General features: G+C 37.6%; 2 long non-coding RNA genes across 4 annotated transcripts in view; one reads left to right on the forward strand and one right to left on the reverse strand.

The window, feature by feature from the left end:
* Positions 1-20,929, reverse strand: part of LINC03005 (long intergenic non-protein coding RNA 3005) — a 74,415-nt gene that overhangs the window by 17,019 nt on the left and 36,467 nt on the right. Inside the window, exon 2 of one of the 2 annotated variants that reach the window (NR_134614.1) lies at positions 6,467-6,511. The exons of the other annotated variant lie outside the window; for it this stretch is intronic. This is a non-coding gene — a long non-coding RNA (long intergenic non-protein coding RNA 3005). The remainder of the gene's footprint in view (positions 1-6,466; positions 6,512-20,929) is intronic. 2 annotated transcript variants of the gene reach the window in all.
* Positions 1,866-13,537, forward strand: LOC102724736 (uncharacterized). Of its 2 annotated transcripts, none has more exons than XR_427895.4 (4): positions 1,866-2,774; positions 3,406-3,531; positions 4,136-4,268; positions 13,060-13,537. It is a non-coding gene; the product is annotated as an uncharacterized LOC102724736 (long non-coding RNA). The 2 variants fall into 2 exon arrangements; XR_926578.2 differs by having other exon boundaries at positions 3,406-3,490.

A 20,929-nucleotide genomic window follows, 5' to 3' on the forward strand; every position in this document is an offset into this window, starting at 1 on the left:
CTACAATGAACTTCATTCTTGTATAGATCAATGTTTCTCAAATTAGAATGGGAAATCTCAAGAGTCCAGACAATTTCAGCTCAATCAGCAATCTCAAGACCTCCTGACCAAAAGTTGTCCTGTTCATATGGCCCTGTCTCCTCCACCCCCTGCAGCCAAAAATCCAATAGACATTCACTGGGAGCCAGCTGTTGTCACGCACTGCACTTGACGGTAGAAATTTAAGATATAAAATACATTTTCTAATGAGGAAGACATGTCATATTTACATTGTCTTAAATGCTAGGCAAGCACACAGAAAAACTACTAAATATTTCTGGTAAGGTCTGATAAATTGACACGCGGGTTTCTTTGGAGATGCGCCTTAAAGGATGTCAAAGAATTGATCTGGTGGATAAAGTAATGAGGAGACAGTGGAAGTTCTCATGCAAAGGAAAAAAAACAATTGTAAAGATACAAAGGTGTGAGAAATCTTGATATAGTCAGAGAATAGAAATTACTGTGGATGTGAAATAAAGAGCATCGGTTAAGAGACCAGATACCAAAGTCAAATGGTCTAGGTTCAAATACCAGCTCCATCACTTAGGTGCACATGCTGGGCTAATTATTTGACCTCTCTGCTTCAGTTTCTTCATTTGCAGTATGAGAATGATAAGGTATTGTAAGGATATATTTTTGAAACATACTCAGTCAATATGAGCTATTTTCTTGAGTATCAAGTAGAGGGGGTTAGTGAGACAATAGAGCGAGGAGACACTAAAGAGGTAGATTGTAATCTGATGACAACCAGAGGCTGTCTTATGCCTTGTCAAAAAAGGTCTCCTAGATGTGCCGATGGGGATTTATGCTGGAGAGTCCGGTGGCCATATTAATGGCATTGTGGCAGGAAGGAAAAGGGAAAATTGGAAGAGTCTTTTCATAAAAAAATAAGAGTGGAGGAATAGTCCAAAATTTTGCCTTAGGTAACCAGATGAATTGCAACCATTAACATCTGAGGCAACATCTGAAGAGGAAGTGCGTTATTGGGAAATATGATAAATTTAATTTCATTGCATTTACAGTGTCTGTGGGACATCAGCTGGAGGTATTCAATGAATGTCTGGATATAGAGCAATGTCTCAGAAGAAAGTCTAGAAATAGTGCTGTCCAATAGAAACCTACTGTGACCCTCAAATGCAAATTATTTAGTACATTAATTACGTTTTATTTAACACAATATATCTAAAATGTTATTTCATCTTGTAATCAATACAAAGTTATTAAGATGTTTTCTTGCCAGATCTTAAACTTGGTGTGTAATTTTATACTTAGCACATCTCAAGCCATATGTCAGATGCTCGGTAGCCGTATGTGGCTTGGGGACTACCGTATGGGACAGTGCGGTTCCAGAATATGGTAATGGGGAGGATTTATACATTTAGCAATGGTCAGTTGAAAGACTGCAGACACTGTGCTAGGAGCAAGAATTCAGTGATGTGTAACACAGACACATTTTCTCCTTCACTAAACTTTCAAGTTATTAGGGAATAGCAGTTCTGCTGGCCTTAATGTTCTTTCTGTGCAAATTAAATAACAGTGAAGTCACTGGGCAGAGTTGTCCCAAACCAAGTATCACAGAGCACACATGAGATTTCTGTGCCTCTTTTTTTGTTTGTTTGTTTGTTTGGAGATGCAGTCTCTCTCTGTTGTCCAGTCTGCAGTAGTGTGATCTCGGCTCACTGCAACCTCCGCCTCCTGGTTCAAGCGGTTCTGCTGCCTCAGCCTCCCAAGTAGCTGGGATTACAGGTGCACACCACCACGCCTGCCTCATTTTTGTATTTTTAGTAGAGATGGGGTTTCACCATGTTGGCCAGGCTGGCCTCAAACTCCTGACCTCGTGATCCACCCTCCTCGGCCTCCCAAAGTGCTGGGATTACAGGCGTGACCCACTGTGCCCGGTTGAGATTTCTATGCCTCTTTACCCTCTCTGCCCTGAAACTTTTTGTAGTACAAATCATACAAAGTCATAAGTGGGGATGTCACAATTTACCCCGTCAGGGAAAGCAGACATTTACAAGTACTTAAAATAAAATGAGAATGTTATAAGGGAAGAAACTCATGTGAGGGGACTTGGTTGCTTAAAGATCAGGAATGTCTCTGAAGTAATGACATCTAAGCTGGGAACTGAAGGATCACCAGGAATTAGACCAATGGGAATGTGGGTGGGTATTCCAGGCAGAAAGTAGGATACATTTGAAAGTACAGAGGTGAGGCCCTCAGGGAAAGTCGTGGAGCTAAGAGAGATTTGGACCATATGTGGAGAGGAAGAGAGGAAGGACATGAAGTTAGAGGGTCTAGGGACTTCTCTGCAGGGTGGATTAAGGGATCAAGGGACACACAGAGCCAGGGATACTAATGATGTTAGTAGACAGCAAGAGATCTTGGAAGGAACCTGGGAAGGGGCAGTCAGAAATGCAGAATAAAAACCAGAAATGAGTAATGACATACAAGACAACTAGTGAGGGAAAATTCACTTTGTGAAAAGGGCCAACAATGTGTCAACTACAGCAAGGAAGTCAAGGCTGAAAAGGCTAAAAAGTGGCTGTGGGATCAATTAATGAAGGCAGCGTTGAGGCCTTGGTGAGCACAGTTGTGAGAGAAGAGGTAGAAACCAAATCGTAGCAGTGGAAAAACAAATGAAGCTTGAAGAACAGAAGGTGTTTTAAAGAAAGCTGTCTGTTGGGAAGTGAAGGAAGGTGACGTTCCTACAAAAAGAGAAGTACACCATAACGTTGGTGAGAGTTGTTTGCTCTTTTATTTTATTTTTGTTTTTAATCGTGGGATACTAGCACATCTCTAAACTTCATATTCCCACTGTTCTCTGTTCTCTCTTCAACTCTGTTACAGAAAACGATACATCTGGTCCTTTTTTTTTTTTTTTTTTTTTTTTTTTTTTGAGACGGAGTCTCACTCTGTCTCCCAGGCTGGAGTGCAGTGGTGTGATCTCGGCTCACTGCAGCCTTCACCTCCCAGGTTCAAGTGATTATCATGCCTCAGCCTGGTACTATAGGTGTGCACCAGCACGCCCAGCTGATTTTTTGTATTTTTAGTAGAGACACGGTTTCACCATGTTGGCCAGGCTGGTCTCGAACTCATGATCTCTGGTGATCTGCCTGCCTTGGCCTCCCAAAGTGCTGGGATTACAGGCGTGAGCCACCATGCCCAGCCCATCTGATACCCTTTAGAAATGGACACACGAGTCAGAAGGTGTTATTGGATTCTCCTTGTTAACTTATTGCACAACTTGGGGCCTTGTGATTGAATGGGTGTTGAATTTGGATACACAGGATTGAGTCATCAAGGGACCATCAGAGGAAGAGCCTAGTAACCACTTTCTTTTCCCTCTGTCTATCATTGTCCTCCCAGGTATGAGTGAAATCATTCATTTTTCACTGAACGCTTACTTCATGCTGGGACCTAAGCAACAACTGTGGCGACAATGGACTTATTGGTAATTTACTATGTGCAGACACTCTCCTCACTTTTTGACAGGTATTGTCTCACTTAATCTGTCTCAAATCCTTATTGGACATATACTATTATTTCTTTGGCTGAGCAATAAGAAAAATTGAGAGAGATTTAAAATGCCAACTAGAGGTTCATGGCTGCATCCATCAGGCCCACAGACTCTAAAACATGCTCATAACCACCATGCTACCTACACAATAGGAATACATAATAAAACAGCAGATGTACCTTAGTCCATTATCATTTCATGGTGGAACCTTAACCAACACTCTTCCCTTGAAATTGTTCCCAGATTAACTCCAACCATCCCAAGGCTCTGGTTTACCATGCCATTATGCTTCCTTTTGATCATATGTATTGTTTTTGTTGGATGTTGCTATATAGTGTTTTTAGTTTTTCATGTGGATATCCTGCCGAATGTTTATTATCCTTGTTTGCGTACCTGGTGGACGTAAGGCCTCTCTCAAATTTCTCTCTGTCTTTTTTTTTTCCTTAACATTCTCAGGTTTTAAAAAATCATTTAAATGGAAGGGTCACATGAAATTAGCTTCTCTACTAATTTGGTCTTGTTTTTCTAATCATGGTTGGGTGGAGCGCCCTGTCTCCTGAATCCTCTTTCCTTTTTCAGAGAACGTTGATTAGATGACCAAAAGTGCCCGGCCCTTTGCCAAGTGTGATAGAAAACAGGGAGAAGGTATCATCATCGTTTCACAGATGCCTACATTCCAAAGGATCTCATCAGAGCATAAGAGCTCTTCCAGGTAATTAGTAATTGGTCCTCACAGCACCCCTGGGAAGTACTGGGTAGGCAGCAAAGCTACACAGAGCATAAATGAGCCTTTCCAGAGTGCAAGACAATTTCCTCCTCAGTGATGGGGACAATGATAGTGATCCACCTTGCAGGGGTGTCAATTATTCACAATCTAAAAGCCCTGAGAATTACGAACCTCACTAGGAATATGTATACACAGTACACTTGTAATGTACTTAATTGGCATTCTCCTTTCCCCTGCCCTGCTACCTGCAAATCACACCACAATGACACCCTTGGGTTTACCTTTGGTCCTGGTTATTGACATAGAGCCTGTCTCCCTGCATCAAAGATCTGCCTGGATCACACAACAGAAGAACAAACCTGCCAGGTGTTGATGAGCTCATGACAAGCAACCTAAATGGAATTCTGACAGGCCTTCCCAGCCTTCTACATAAACATAATGAATCAACACAGAATACACACTTAGTAAGCTACAAGTAAAGCAGAAAGCAATGTATGAGGATAAAGGGAAAAACAACAGATTGATCCAGCTCAACGATAGGAATTGCAAAAATCATTCTGAATGGTGCAGGGTGCAAGTGAAATATTCCAAATAAACTTCTGTTAACAATTGCCACCAATGACCCATTCACCTTTGGATTCTTTTTACTTGAGCCTTTTTTATCTCCTCCCTCTGTCCTATACCCTACCTACCTTATTTTCATCTTTTTATGTGTAACTATCCAATCTCTCTGACGAATTGAAATTGTGAGCTTCAGGCAAGGAATATGTCCTGTATGTTATTTTGATTCAATTAAATTAGAAACAGTCACAAAAACAAAACCGCCATTTCTGCTCCACCACTCTTCACCTGTGGAATTGCTTATGCATTTCATTATTGGCACATTCACCATTCAATTCTTTCCATCTTCTTTGTTTCAGCACTTCTTCTTTATTCAACTCTTCATTTCATGCAACAGCTGTTATTGGACGTGTTCACACACAGACTAGGAAATTGTTTGCCACAGAGACAGTTGCAGGAGTAGCCTCAATAAAATAAATGGAAATAGCATTTCTGGATAAAAGAACTCTTCTATTAGATATTACTGACTCTATCTAAATATCTGAGTTCCTTAAAGATTTCTGGGACAGGTCTGTGTAGAAGGGAGGCTCAGTATAAAGGAAGAGGAGAGGAAACTGAATGATCATCAGAGGCAGAGCCAGAAGTAAGGTGAGAATTGATAAATGAACTATTCACAGAAATGTCTTTCAAAATGTAATTATAAACCATTCTTTAGAATGTAAGGTTTTTACACAAAAACACCACTACCTAGTACCTTCTCTCCCAAATGTATGCAGTGACATCGTCTCAACCTGGAACCCTTTAGAGAGGAGTCATGCTAATACTATTACCTCTATAATTTCCAGATGTGATGCAATAACTAAAATAGATCATCCTTTACCAAAGAAGAGAGGCAGAAAGACAGAATCAGGTAAATTAGAGCTGATAGGTCTTGGGACAATTGCACAAGCTCTTCAAACCTAAGTGATTAGAAAGTGTCCATGTTTTTCATTAGTCAAATACTTGCCACATGATCATAAACCTGACCTCTGGTTGATTGCCTGCATAAAGGATTCAGTGACCAAGATGGAAGTCGTTATATTTGTCTTAGGAAAATAAGAAGTGAGCTCACGCATTTTAATTTTAAATCTGCATTGAATAAAAAACTCTGAAAACACAGAGCAAGTTATAAATTCAGGAAGAAATGATTTCCAGGACTCTCTTTCTAAACAGAATGCATTAAAGTAGCTGGAAAATTGTCCATTGTAGAGCTAAACAAAGATGCTTCATTTCTCATCCCTTTCCATTAAGTGAGAAAATAGAGCACGCCAACCAAAGAAATCAAAAATAACTCTCCTCAGCAAGCTTAAGGAACATTTTCCACAGCTTAGGTCATTGGTCATTGGGATCAAATGAGAGGAAATTTTGAGCATTCCACCCAGAGCTCATGGTGGGGTCCACAGTGTGTGTGGATATAGACAGCATGCATTTGTGAGAAATCAGCCTCAGAATGTGCTTGTCAAAGCCAATTTAAAAATATTCTATCACACTGTTAGGAAACACCTCATTATGAGAAGGAACTCTGCTTTGGGGTGGTTGGTATAAACAAACACAACGTTTTAACTTTATAGATTAATGCATACCTGATATTTTGTATAATACTTTAAAGACCGGGTATCTTAGGAGATCTGAGAACATAGAAACCAAGAAACATATTAACTCCTGTAATGGAAATGCATAAAACATAAACTTAATAAGCACCAAGCTACAATGTATTTTTGTGCCTGGATTATCCAATTGAGATATTTACATATATTAAAGTTACTGTCAGTTCTCCATATCACTTTTGTGCTTATAAATCCGGTGAAAAAGGGGCCCAGGCATTAATATATTATTTATTCACTTATTTGCAAGATGTATCTAGCACATAGCCTTTAAATAGCTAACAGCATTGTGTCTGGGCACTCTGCACTTGCAATATTTAACATTAGGTCCTTGGTAACAAGCAAGTAAGTGGGGGATTGTTCCGACTTGTTCGAGTATTGTGGCCATGTGGAGGGATAAAACAATTTGGATTTATTGGAATGAATTCCAATTAGAAAATAAAAGAGTAAACCATGACATGGTTCAAACATTTCTAATTAATATTCTGATGAACGATAATTCTGTGTCCCTAAAGATACTAAATTCATGTTAATATTGGATATAACAGCCCATTGAGACACTATCCTTGGGTGGAATTGACACTGATCACATTTCAAGGTAGGTTTATGGTCAGGTAACAAAATGTTTATGCACTCATACACAGCAATAGCAGAAAAATTCTACTTTCTTTTTTTTTTTCTGATAAGAAGAAACCTCCCAGGACGTATCTGTGGCCCCTTGAGAGCTTCTGGTTGTTTTTCACGTCTGCCTGTATTCACTTCTTCCCTCCATTCCTTCTCTGAATGATCTGTAGGTAAATACCTCAAAATTATTCACAGCATTGTAGTCTCAGCACTGTATTGCTATAGGATGTCATGCTGGGTTGAAGGGTGAGATTTTAGAGGCACAGGGGAATGAAACAAGGTGGCCAATATCACATAGGCAGTTAGTGAGCAGAGGAACCCTCTGAGTTCCTTCCTTCTTGTGGTCATTAGGGAGTGAACATGGACTTGGTTTCAATTAAGGCTTGTGCTGACATCCAATGTCTATTGAAGGACTTTGTGCATATTGCACAATGCTCTTCCGGTTGGGATAGCTTCCTCTGTGTTAGGTGACCCAGTATCCTACTGGAGTCTTTCCTCCAAAATGGGTGGGAAGCAGAGGGTTTTTGTTTGTTTGTTTGTTTGTTTTTTTGTTTCAAGTATATAAGGGAAGAAATCCACTGTTCCTAAAGGAGAAGAGAATTCCTATTCCCAAGTATTTCTTGCAGAGAGAAACACATGTCCACTGGGCTGCTGAGCTCAGGTACTCTGTGAAAGGGAGCTGGGAGTTTGGGCCTTATCCTCAAAGAATAATCGAAAATACTTGCACTCTGCACTGGGTGATCTCACAGTCCTCTCTATCGGTATCTCTGTGGATATGGCTCTTCAGAATCTGCCAGCACCTTGGAAGGACTTCAAACCACATCTTTTCAGCAATGACCTGAGTTTACATGGTCTCTCTGTGACAGCAGCCAAGTGATCTGGCCCGGATTTTTGTTCCATGCCTGAACTCATTCTTTGCTGATAAAGTTAAACCTATTCTGATTGCCTATTTTTGCATCTTGTGCATTCCACAGGGAATTCCACAAGTTCAGGATAGCTCTCACTCAGTACTGCTCTATTTGAAAATGCTACATGGAATCCTGGTTACCACCACCAAGGCTTGTACATCTCTGCCTGTTTTCCTGAAAATTGATCTCCCAACTCATTTTGCCAGGTCATCTAGTTTTGTTCTGAGGTTAAATGTACTCAAAGTAAGAAGAGATATTTTCCCTCTGTATTTATTAGATGAAAGTATTGTGGCCGAAGACATGTCCTGGGGACACACTTTCCTGCTACCCCTTCCCCTTCCTGGTGCACGTCTGCTCTGAAGCACACAGCACACTGTAACACTGCAACATGTCAGAAGGAAGCTGTAATGAGGTGTGATAAGGCCTAGTTCCAATCCTGTATTTAACTCCCCGTTTGCATTTAGGTAAATCTTTAAAATCTCTTTAAACTGCAGGTTCCTCATATCAAGCTCAAGGAGATGTCCAGTGTACTGTGTGGGCAATATATGTAAGAGTGTTTAAAAACATTTTAAAAGGCAGATTAGTACAAGTATAGAGTAGTTTTTGACATAGAGTGGTATACGGCAGTTATAGAACAGTCATTGCTTTTCATTTTGTCTGTCTTTCCTCTCCTTCTTTTTATTTCTGCTGGCTCATCCCTTTTTTCAACTTGCTTGAATTAGTGACATCCAGCTATACATCAGGTATATGGCAAGTCCTGGGAATTGAAGATTAATAACACAGCTCTCTATTCTTCAATAGCTTATAACCCCATCATAGAGACCCACCAAACCAGTGATTACCCTGTGAACACCCTGACAAGGGCATCTAAATGAGCTGTTAGCATCAGACAAGTCTTCCTGGATGAGTTGATATTTCAAATGAGGTTTGAAGGAAAGGATGCAGGAGATAACAAGTTGAAGAAGAAATTGTTCCCATTAAAAGAAAATGGTGCATACAAACGCTCGTGGATAACACAGCATTAAGTATTTGGGAACCTAAATCAGCTGGCATTGCAGCAGCACAATGTATTGGAGAGACAGGGCCGGGAATGAGGCTAGAATGATGGTCAGGGCCCTCACCAGTGATATGAAAAATCTTAGTCTTTATCCAAGGCTTAAACAATGACTTGTTTAAGGAGAGATCAAATCTGTGTCTTGCATGTGTGCATGCCTGTGGGTTGTGGGGACCAATTGCCATATAATATTTTTCATTTTGAGATGATCCATTTGTACTCTCTATCCTCAAATATATAAATTAACTGGTTCGGTGATGTCCTTCAAGGTGATTGAAGTTTTAATCCATCATAAAATGAGAGTAATTTGAATTTCTTAAAATTGGTAGGTGTTTCAGTGGCCTGGCTTGAATTAGTGATTTGATTAAAATCCAAATGTGAGGAAATAGAACTTCACACTCCCAAACCACAAGCACAATAGCCATTCAATTGGACTCATTAGGGCAGTTGTAGTCATTATGTCATGGGACAAATAGGTGTGGTGACTAACTTAAATGACCATTCATGGCATTTATTTTAAAAGAACTGAATTTGAAAAACACTTGTAATGGCTCACTCAGTCATGAATAAAGACACATTAATTTTCACTTAACAAAATATTTAATTCCCTTAAATAATTTCAAAATAAAATGCAGCCATCATGATGAAAAATGGCCCTCCAAAAATAATGATGATTAGGATTAGATATTAATCATGATAGAGATTATGGACCATCACATTACTTTGCTCAATATATTGACTCTGCTCTGTCAATTTCTAGGCTTTCCATATTTTTTAGCTATTCTGATGGTAAAAATTAATTTATGGAAATTAATTTATATCTAAATGAAAGTAAACCAATTAACAATAGGAAGCTTTTAAGGGAAAGGTTTTTAATTATTGCCAGTGTTATTTTTAAAGGCTTGTGATTTCTATTAAATTTTTCCAACCCCTGTTTCTGTAATTTATTGGTGCTAAAGACAGTATTTTATTAATTCAGCAATGAAGATTCATTGTATGTTCTGTACTCACAAATTATTTGGTTTTCTTTCTCCTTTTCCTTCCCTTCCTCTTTTTCTACCTCTTTCTTCTTTTACTATTCATTACATGTAATCTTTTTTTACCCCCATACAATCTTTGGCACTGATTTTTGTCAAGCTTTTGGACAAACGCCTCTTCTTGCTTATTTTTGGATACAGAGTTTCACCCCATGGGAATTAATTTCCTGACCTCTCCTGACTTTTAATAACTAACACACCCACTCTAACCGACATCTATCCAGTTACAGTCTATTCATAATCTTGGAAATTAGTTGAGATTACTTAAAAATATTTGTCTATTATTAACGTAGGAATAGCAACTTAGGCACATTTCCGGGTATTTCTTTTTTCAGGTCAAATTGAACAAGTTCTGTGCCTTATGCTCCAAGAGACCCACAATAAATAATTTCATAATTTTTCAAACCAGATACCCATGTAGAGGTACATAATGATTCTTCATTTGAAACCAGTACACATGTAGTTATAAGAATCTTTTACTTCTCCGTAAAGCAATTAGTAGCAACATTAAATCCAAGGCCTTTTTATTTTTGTTTTTTAATGACAAGCATTTTTACCATGCATTTCCAACTTTTTGGCTGGAACTACGCTCAGTGCTCTGCAATTTATATTTTAGCCTCTATAATGTTAGATATTAATATATGCATGAAGAGTTGTAGTGAATGTAATTACAGTGGCAAAATGATAAACACATAGCTATTTTGCCTGGTAATATTATGTATTTTAACAGGTTTATTTGTTCAACAGTTCTAAGTTTAATTACATTTTGCCATTTGGGATTTTTAGACATACAACAATCATAGCTCTTCTCTGGCTATTAGTCTAAGAAGATTGCATTCATTATAAAAATAATCCGTATTTGTTTATTTAATTTTTTTTCTTAATGCTATGCAAGTGAACTAAGAAATGATAAGTTTCTGTGCTGCTGGTATTATGTGACTCATTTGAATGCTAAACAAATCATTCCCCATTCCTACCTGTGGCAGTGAAAGATGCTCAACAGGGCTTTTGCCCCAGGACTGCTCAGTCTTAGGGACGGTGCTGTATACTCTCACACAGACATGGAGCTAGTCCTCAAAACCTTGGTTCTAGATCACTCTGAAAATACCAAATGCTTTGGGAAGCAAGCTAACAAAAAATAAACAGGAAATGGGTACTGAAGCTAACAAATAGGTGCAGAGGGCCAGTCTCCGTAACAGCCAAGCTCAGTCCTTTTGTGCTCAACTGCAGCAAAATAACCTCTGAAATTATTCCCTGCCATGGAGTGAACAGAAGACCTGGGTAAATCTCAAGAAGGTGAGAGAGTGAGCATGGGGTGAGCTCATGTTACATCAGTGAAGATTCCAGAAAGCATACTGATAGCTCTTTTGCAAAGTGACTATTATATGATGTGTTCATTATGTTCATGCTTATGCAGAATGCAATTAAGCTTTTAGTTCCAAAAGCCTTTTTCTGCTTTCCATCCCCAGATACTTATTCGGGAATCTACCTCTGCAATACTCTTTCAGCGAAGCCAAATTATTCCTGCAGTGAATTCTTTTGATAAAAGCAGATTTTTTTTCTAGGTTTGCCCAAAAGATACGTTCTATTTGGTTTACACAATGTTATTGTTGGAAGTATGACTTACATGCAATCAAATGCGCAGATCTGGTGTTTGACTTGATGAACTGTACTTATGTATATACCCATGTAACGACCTCTCAGATCAAGAAGTAGAATATTTCTGACTCCCCAGATGGCTCTCTCATATCTCTCTTCAGCACTCCCCCATTCCACAGGATAACTTGTATAGAATTTTTTAATTTATAAAAGTAGATTTAAGGTTAAAAAGATGGTGATGACTTTTGATAATATCGCAATCAATTTTTAGTATTTTGACATCCAGGTATTTAAGTACAACTCTTTATCCCTGATAAATAGAACTGCAAAACACATTTTAATGAAAGAGACAAAAGTTCTTCCTCATTCATTTGTTAAATATATACTGTAATATATAAAATGTGTTAGAGGCTAGAAATATAAAGATTAAAAACAACAACACACACTGCAGACTCTGGCCTGAAGGGGTTTGCACTTAGGTGCCCTCGGGCTATGATTTTAGCTATGGTTGCAAATATGCATATGTGTATTTGTGCACATGCTACACATACACACACATGCACAGCTTCTATTTATTTTATTCTGTTTTTCCACATACGTAAAACTAAAATAAGATCAGATGATGTGTTCATCATGTTGGATGAACCAGAGTGGCCTTAATAACTTCTTCCCCACCCAGGCTTGAAGTTAAAAGCAGCCTATAAAAGCCACCAGATCAGCAAACACGTTCTGAACCTGATAGTATTTCTCTAGTTTCTTTAGTTTGCACCCTACTGTCTTGGGATGGAATCTGCCTTTGTGCCTACCTTTTTAGTCTGATGTTCATTTGGACCATCTTCTTGGTTCTTGATAACACCTTTTCTTTGTACATTGTGTTTTTGTTCTCTCTTGGCCCATGCTCTGAAGCCCATGGCCATCCCCTCAGACAACTCTGGCTGCTGGCACCCCATTGTGGATTGCACTCTTAACTGTTACTTAAACAAAAATAGAGTTTTGATGGCAGGCTTGTGTTCTAAGTAACAAGATTCTCTTGGCATAAATACTTCCATTTACAATAATTTTTTTAGTTCTCTTGGTTCTTCCAGAAAATACAACATTTTCCTGGGGAATTATCTTTCCAAGGAAATTTCCTTGGAATTCTCTTAGAGAATTTCTTTCTGATTTAACAAGTGGGCACGTCTGATTCTCTTTTCTTGGACAGGTTTTCTTCATACCTTTGCATTACGGTGCGTTGTAGTGAAATTCTTGTTTGTAATAACATGGGCTTTTAATGTGGCCAACAATTCCCAATTACTAAAACACACACACTCCCACACTCATATACTCATAATATCTTAATGTTTTTTGCAGCTGTTGTTTATCCATGAATTATTATTGCAATGCTTAACCGGAGATAGAAACTCACCATGAGCGTATCAACCTTTCCTCTTCAGAAGTTTCACTTCAGTTTGAAAGAAAACGCAACTGGTGAAACAATTGCTGTGTGTCATAAATTATAGGTATCTGACATTCATTACAAGGAAAGCAACAGTCAAATATCATGGGACTCATATTTATTTATGTCTATATTATCTGTAGATATTATAGATAATATATATGTATACTTTGACAGAGAAGGAAGAACACCACTCTGGAGTGTTTAATCTACCATAGTTTGATACTGTCTTTCTTGTTTGTGCCAATTTGAATTACTTGGTTCTGTTTTTTGGTTATCTGCAATTAGTGTGCTATTTATTTCCAGAATAGAGGAAACTGAAGCTTACTCTGTGTACACAAAAGAATACTGTACCCATTCAGTCATGTACAAATAGAGTTATCTCATGGAAAATTCATTTTTTTTCTTGTTTTGGTACTTTTCCTGAAGTTTTAGAATATGTTCTACTTTTGTCTGTGACACAAATTTTGGATCTTTTGATACTGTGGAGGACACACTGCAGTTGAGCCTGCAAACTGATAACTGTCTTTTTGGTGGCACCCTGTCTTGGTCATTACTGACATCAAAGCACATTCTTCCTCCATCCTGATAGGTACATAACATATGGGGTGCAGCTTGCAGTGTGTAAAATATACCATGCAGATATGGACATAAAAATAGACACATTAATCATGGAACAGGATAGAGAACCTAGAAACAAACCTGTGCATTTATGGTCGATTGATTCTCAACAAAGATGCCAAAAACATACAATAAAAAAGGACAGTTTGTCTGATAAGTGGTATTGGAAAACTAGATATCCACAAGCAGAAAAATGAAATTGGAGTCTTATCTAACACCATATGCAAATATCAACACAAAACAAATTAAACACTTAAATGTAAGACATGAACTGTGAAACTACTAAAAGAAAACAAAGAGGATATACTTTACTACATTCATCTGAGCAAAGATTTCTTAGATAGGATCACAAAACCATAGTCAACAAAGAAAAATAAACAAATCAGATTGCATCAAACTAAACAGCTTCTGCACAGCAAAGGAAACAATAGAGCTAAGAGATAGTTCGTGGAGTGGGAGAAAATATTTGCAAACCATATAAGTGGCTAATACCCAAAACATATAAGGAACTCAATGCAATAGCAAGAAAACAAATAATCCAATAAAAATTGGGCAAAGGACCTCAATAGACACTTATCAAAAGAAGACATACGTGGCTGCCAGATATATTAAAAAATGTTCATCATCACTATCATCAAGAAAATGCAAATTAATACCACAATGAGATATCACCCCACACCTGTTAGAATGGCTATCATCAAAAAGACAAAAGATAAATGTTGGCGAGGGAGTGCCGACAAGGGAACCCTTATGCAATGTTGGTGGAAATGTCAATTAATACAGCCGTTATGGAAAACGGTATGGAGACTCCTCAGAAAACTAAAAATGTATCTACCATATGATCCTTCAATCCCACTGGCAGTATATAGTCAAAGGAATTGAAATCCGTATTCCAAAGATACCTGCACTCTCATGTTCATTGAAGCATTATTCATAATGGGTAAGATATGGAAGCACTCTGTGTCCATCAAGGAATGAATGGATCAGGAAAATGTGGTATATATGCACAATGAAATACTATTCAGCCTTAAAAAAAGGGAAAATCCCTGTGATCCCAGCACCTTGGGAGGCCGAGGAGGCGGATCATGAGGTCAGGAGATCAAGACCACCCTGGCTAACACGGTGAAACCCTGTCTCTACTAAAAATACAAAAAATTAGGCGGGCGTGGTGGTGGGCGCCTGGAGTCCCAGCTACTAGGGAGGCTGAGGGAGGAGAATGGCGTGAACCTGGGAAGGTGGAGCTTGCAGTGAGCAGAGATCGGGCCACTGCACTCCAGGCTGGGGGACAGAGCGAGACTCTGTCTCAAAAAAAAAAAAAAAAACCACGGAAAATCCTCTCATTTTTAACAACATGGATAAACCTGGAGGACATTATGCTAAGTGAAATAAGCCAGGCACAGAAAGGCAAATACTGCATCATCTCACACGTATGAGGAATCTAAAAACGTTGAAATTGTAGAAGTAGAGAGTAGAATGATGTTACTAGAAGCTGGGGAAAGGGAGTGGTTGGAAAAAAGGGAGTTGTTGATCAGAGGGTACAAAGTTTCAGTTAGACAGGAGGAATAAGCTTTAGAGATCTATCACATAGAATTGAGACTATAATAATCATAGAGTTGTTAAAGGCATACATTTTGAATGTTTCAACACACACAAAAATGACAAGTATGTGAAGTGATGGATTTGTTAACTAGCCTGATTGTAAACATATATCAAAACATCACATTGTACCTCATAAATATATACAGTTAGTATTTGTCCACAAAAATAAAATTCAAAAAAATAACCAAAAAAAAAAAAAAATACCAGGCTAGTCATTTGTTCATCTTACCATTAAACTGGTGGGTTTTTTTGAAAATAGGTATTTTCTGAGGAATCAAATCAAATAGAATTTGAAACATTAATGAAATAATTTAAAATAATTCTTTAGGAAAAATTAAGTTTTTCAGAAAAGCGCATTGTTGCTTAATTTTGTGAAGTTGATTCACTGCCTTTGGTTTTGAGTTTTGTATTTTACAGAGCATAACAAGGAAGTCAGTATTCCCTTTGTGTGTTCTTAAAATCTTTTAGAAACTGAATATTATTGTTTCATAAATGTATTTTGAATCTAGTCATTTCAAATGCTGTGAGGTATAGATAATAAACCCCTGGTTTCTGACATTCTCTTCTATATAATTGAGTTGTTTGAGCAACTATTTCTCATGTTTGCTTTACACATTTGTGACTTCTTTATCGATTTCATTTTTTTCAACATTTTGGTACACCAGACTTTATTACCTGAGAATAAGTTGAATTTTTCCCATATTTGCTAGAGTGAAATAAGAGTAAATTGCTGCAATATTCCCATTTCAATATGAGTATGTCCTTATGGTTTTTTCAGTATGTTTAAATATTTCCTTAAACATTTTAACCAGAGCTCTCTTTGGAGCATCCTTGACATACTGATATGTAAGAATCATTTTTCTTTTCAAGTTATACATAACAGTTTAATGAACATATATATGTAAAATTAACATTTTTCTTCAAAAGCAAAATTAGTAAGAGTGCACATGAGCAGAAATGAGAAGGAAAGGAGAAAGATACAATAATTCCACTTTAAATTATTTTCCGATATTATTGGAACTTGTTAAAAATGTAAAGCTGGATAATTTGGCCTATTATGTGCCACAGTCTGTGAATTGCTATGAAAGCTGGCATTTAGTCCCTGATTACATACAGGGATAAAGGGCTATGCTACCATGGTCCTACATAGACTACAAGGACTACCATGGGCCACAGAACATTGAAGGAAAAATAGGTGAAGAGAGGCAGTGACGAGATAAGTTCCCTACCTTGCACCCTCTGAGTTCTCTTTGGACTTGTGGAAGAGAACAGCTCATACACATGCTGTGTGTAAATAACAAAAACATAAAACTGAAGCAAGGTCCTTGTAAGAAACCGTTTTTGTGTGTCATCATTTTTCTGCTTTGCACAGGCCAACATTTATAATGAGTATATTTCTGGGTAAAGCAAGCATGAAGAAAGACTACAATACAAATTCCATAAAAGGCTATAGAGTGTATGAAATTCATGACCAATACTGACTACACAAAAATCTTAATTTTGCACCCAGATAATTCTTAGCATTTTAACTAAATACAGCTTAGCTCACACTAAGTGATTCTGCATGTCCTAGTTAAAATTAGGAACAACATGAAAACTAGTTAAGTGGGTTCCTACAAAACAGTGTAAAGAGAAAGTCCTCTCACTGACAAGCAATTAATTTATAAGCACAAAACCCATATTTGTACTATCAAAATTACAAATGATATTCAACAATCATTTTTTGCTGGGTGAAGTTTCAATCACTAGCTAACTTCAAAATTTTAGTTTAAAGAAGGAGAAAGAGTTGTTTGGTCTAAAGAGGAGAGAGATTGTTTTATCAAAAGCCCAAGTCATGCCTGTGAATAAAATGAGTAAATAAAATAAAATTTCTTGCTTCATTTGTGTGCTTTATGTAAGTTAATAATGAAAAACTGGCTATACCCAGAATCTAGCAGATCTTAATAATATAGTTATTAGTAATTAGCTGATAAATATTATATATTTATTCATACCTATTGTCTTAAGCACAAGTATCAGACTTCTTTTCAGATAAAAAAATGAATTCATTGTTTGGATTTTGAAACAGCAACATGGCATAGCCTATAAGATGTTGAAAATTATAAGCAGATTCCAACATAAGCCATCCCTGTAACAAATGCAAAAACACTTACATACTTTATAAATTATTCTGTATTCTTAAGTTCAAAAAATTAATACAAATTTATATTGTAGAATCAACACACATTTTTATTGTAGAAATTAAATTTTTTTGAATAATGTATTTAAAGTAACATATTCTCAGAAGTTTATACTTTATAAAAAATAGCCACGACTGACTTGTTTTAAATTATTCCGGTGATTACTGTACTTAGAAATTTATCCAAATGTTTTTTCATATTACCATTTTCTGCTTAGGCATTGAATTACTGGTGCAATTATTTGAAAAAATATACATATATATGTATATATATATGAAAAAATTATATGAAAAAATATACAACTGGACTCTTGAAAGAAGTAACCAAAGAATTTATACAGATAGCTGAAAGTAAAGGTGGCTTTCTGGAATCTTCAAATAATCTCAACACTCTCCTGTTTCCTCTGTAGGACTGGGGACACTCAGAGGTCCTCAGGTTAGTGGCTTGTGTTTGTAGTGGGCGTGTCTAGATTCACAAAGCCCTAGTTGTCAGTCTGGGATGTCAGTGTTTAGAACGCAGCAAGTTTATAGAAAGACAAGCAGGAGGTGGGGTGGTCAGGGCATGAGGGTATTCAGAAGTTACACCACTATCTCCAAACCCCTGGCTTTACGTAGTGAGAGGGATTGGTGATAGCACAACCCTATGGAAAATGTTTCTGGAAACAGGACCCTCAACTTGAGCCCCAATCCTTTTATCTCACCCTATTCCTTACAGGTTCTGTAACTTTGGATAAGACTCTTAACCACTCTAAATCTTATTTTACTTACCGTTAAAACAGGAATAATAGTTGTTGCCTTTTAGGGTTGTTGTAAGAATAATATAAAGTTATAAATGTTTAGTTCAGTGTCAGTTGTAGAGTAAGGACTCAATAAATGGTAGCTATTACATTATAGCTATTTTATTTCCCTTTGTAGGCTATGTAAAGCATCTATTTACTTATTCAGAGGTATCTATGTCCAAAGTTTGGCTTGACATGAATTTCTGTGATTATCAGATAGCAGCATATTCATTATGGAGGGATTAGCCAATAAATAACACCCAGTTGACATTTGGGAAAATGTTCTGAAAATCACAGAAGGCTGAAATTTATGGGAACATACTGAACACCACATTAACCATTATATATAAAAACATGTCATTAGGCTTTAAGGAAGAAGGAATGCTGCTGGTGTTGGATTTGAAGTGCCATTTTGATGCCATAAAAACTAGGAACCTCCCTACAGGTGTATGATCAATTGAGTGGTGTAAGATGGGGCTCGAGGAAGACTTTCCTGATGGTTGTTTGATGGTCAGCAGAATCTAGGAGGGTAAGAAATAAGAATCTCCAATTGAGAAGTTTACACAAGTAATAGAGTCTTATTTTCTGACATTATGGACCTAATTTTCCTTTAGACTGGCCAGTGTAGGTCCTTAGAGATATTGACTTACAGAGATAATGGCCCTCTTCTAGATGCCATGTATTAACAATGTGAATCCTTTGGGATTCTTCTGCATACCATGTATGGTCTCAGAGAAAGTCATGAACTATCAACAATTTTATAATTTTCTTGTGTATTTCTTTCCTTTTCTATTATACTTTAAGTTCTGGGCTACACGTGCAGAACATGCAGGTTTGTTACATAGGTATACACGTGCCATGGTGGTTTGCTGCACCCATCAACCCATCATCTACATTAGGTATTCCTCCTAATGCTATCCCTCCCCTAGCCCCCCACCCCATGGCAGGCCCCAGTGTGTGATGTTCTTGTGTATTTCTAAAGCACTAAACTTTTTTTTCTTGAGAAACCTGTTAGCTAGAATTTGTAAATTTTGCCAATGAAAGAACCAGGGAACCAAAGTATCCACACAGATTTACAAAGCAAATCTTTGCAAAGCTAAGCCTCACAACTTTTGAGCCACTGCTTTAATTCCCACTCTCATCACTTTGGTCATACAGACCCTTTTGAACAAAATGGAGCATACTCATATTTATAACCCATCACACCAACTTCTTGGAAATCCAAGTATAATTTGATGTACCTATGTGTTTCCCAGAATTGCTTAGTGAGGCAGTTTCTGGCTATGACCAAAATTGAAAACATATAAGTATTCAAACAGGACCAAATGCTATTTCCACCCAACTTAGAGCAGCAAATGTTGGAAAGAATAGAAGACTCCTTTTGGATGTTTTCCCACTGGCTTCCAAAGACAGTGGATAAGCAATGTATGAATACCCAAACATTTGGGTTTTTATCTTCATTAAATCCTTATACAAACTTTTAAATCCTGTCCACCACTCATTTATCTACACAATGTATTTGGAAACAATAAAGGAAAATCAAGGAGGCATTTAGTTGGCAGGAGCATAGAACCTGAATTCAATGGTTGGCTTTGAAAAGCATGACTATAGCTGTGTTGCTGAGACATTCCACTGGGAAAGGAAACCTGATGATATTCCAGGAGAGTGTGTTGCATTTGGTGTCAGTGGAAATGGAAGGACTAAAGTTTGTGAGTGAATCTCCAGCAACACACCATTTCTCATCTTGAACTTAATCATCTGAGCTGATAAAATGGATGCCACACAAGCAATATAGGATGCTACGATATGAGATTTACTTTGGGTACTCCATAATACATAGGGACCTGCCAACAGTATTTGGGGTAATTAGGAAGCCCAGTCTCTCTAATAACAGCATAGACATGTAAATAAAGTGACAGTGTAAAGCCTGTGGCAGTAATTTATTCAATTCACAAGTATGGTGAGAGAGACAGAGAGAAAGAGAGAGCTCTTGGTGTTGGATGCTAACATAAGAGAACCCAGAAATAGACCCACAAGAAATACACCTGATATTTTTCACACAGGTTCATAAGAAATTCAATGGAGGAAAGACTACTTTTTCAACCAATAGTGCTAAAGCAGGTGGAGTTCAGAAGAAAGAAAAAAAAATACCTCAAATTAAACTCATACCTTATAAAAAATTAATTCAAAATGGATCATAGGCTTAAATTAAAAACGTAAAACTGTAATTTGTTTTTAAGACAGGGTCTGGCTCTGTCCCCCAGGTTGCAGTGCAGTGGCGCGATCTCGGCTTACTGTGACCTCCACCTCCCGGGCTCAAGCAGTCCTCTTGGCTCGGCCTCCTGAGTAGCTGGGACTACAGGTGCCTGCCACCATGCCCAACTATTTTTTTTTTTTTTGTGTTTTTTTGTAGAGGTGGAATTTTGCTATGTTGCCCAGGCTGGTCTGGAAATTCTGAGCTCAAGCGATCTTCCCACCTTGGCTTCTCAAAGTGTGTAAAACTTTTAGAGAAAAACAGAAGAAAATCTTTGAGACCTAGAGCTAAGCAATCAGTTTTCAGACTTGACACCGAAAGTGTGATTCATAAGAGAAAATTTCATTAAATTA

Source organism: Homo sapiens, chromosome 6 (genome assembly GCF_000001405.40).
Source record: "Homo sapiens chromosome 6, GRCh38.p14 Primary Assembly".
NCBI lineage: Eukaryota > Metazoa > Chordata > Mammalia > Primates > Hominidae > Homo > Homo sapiens.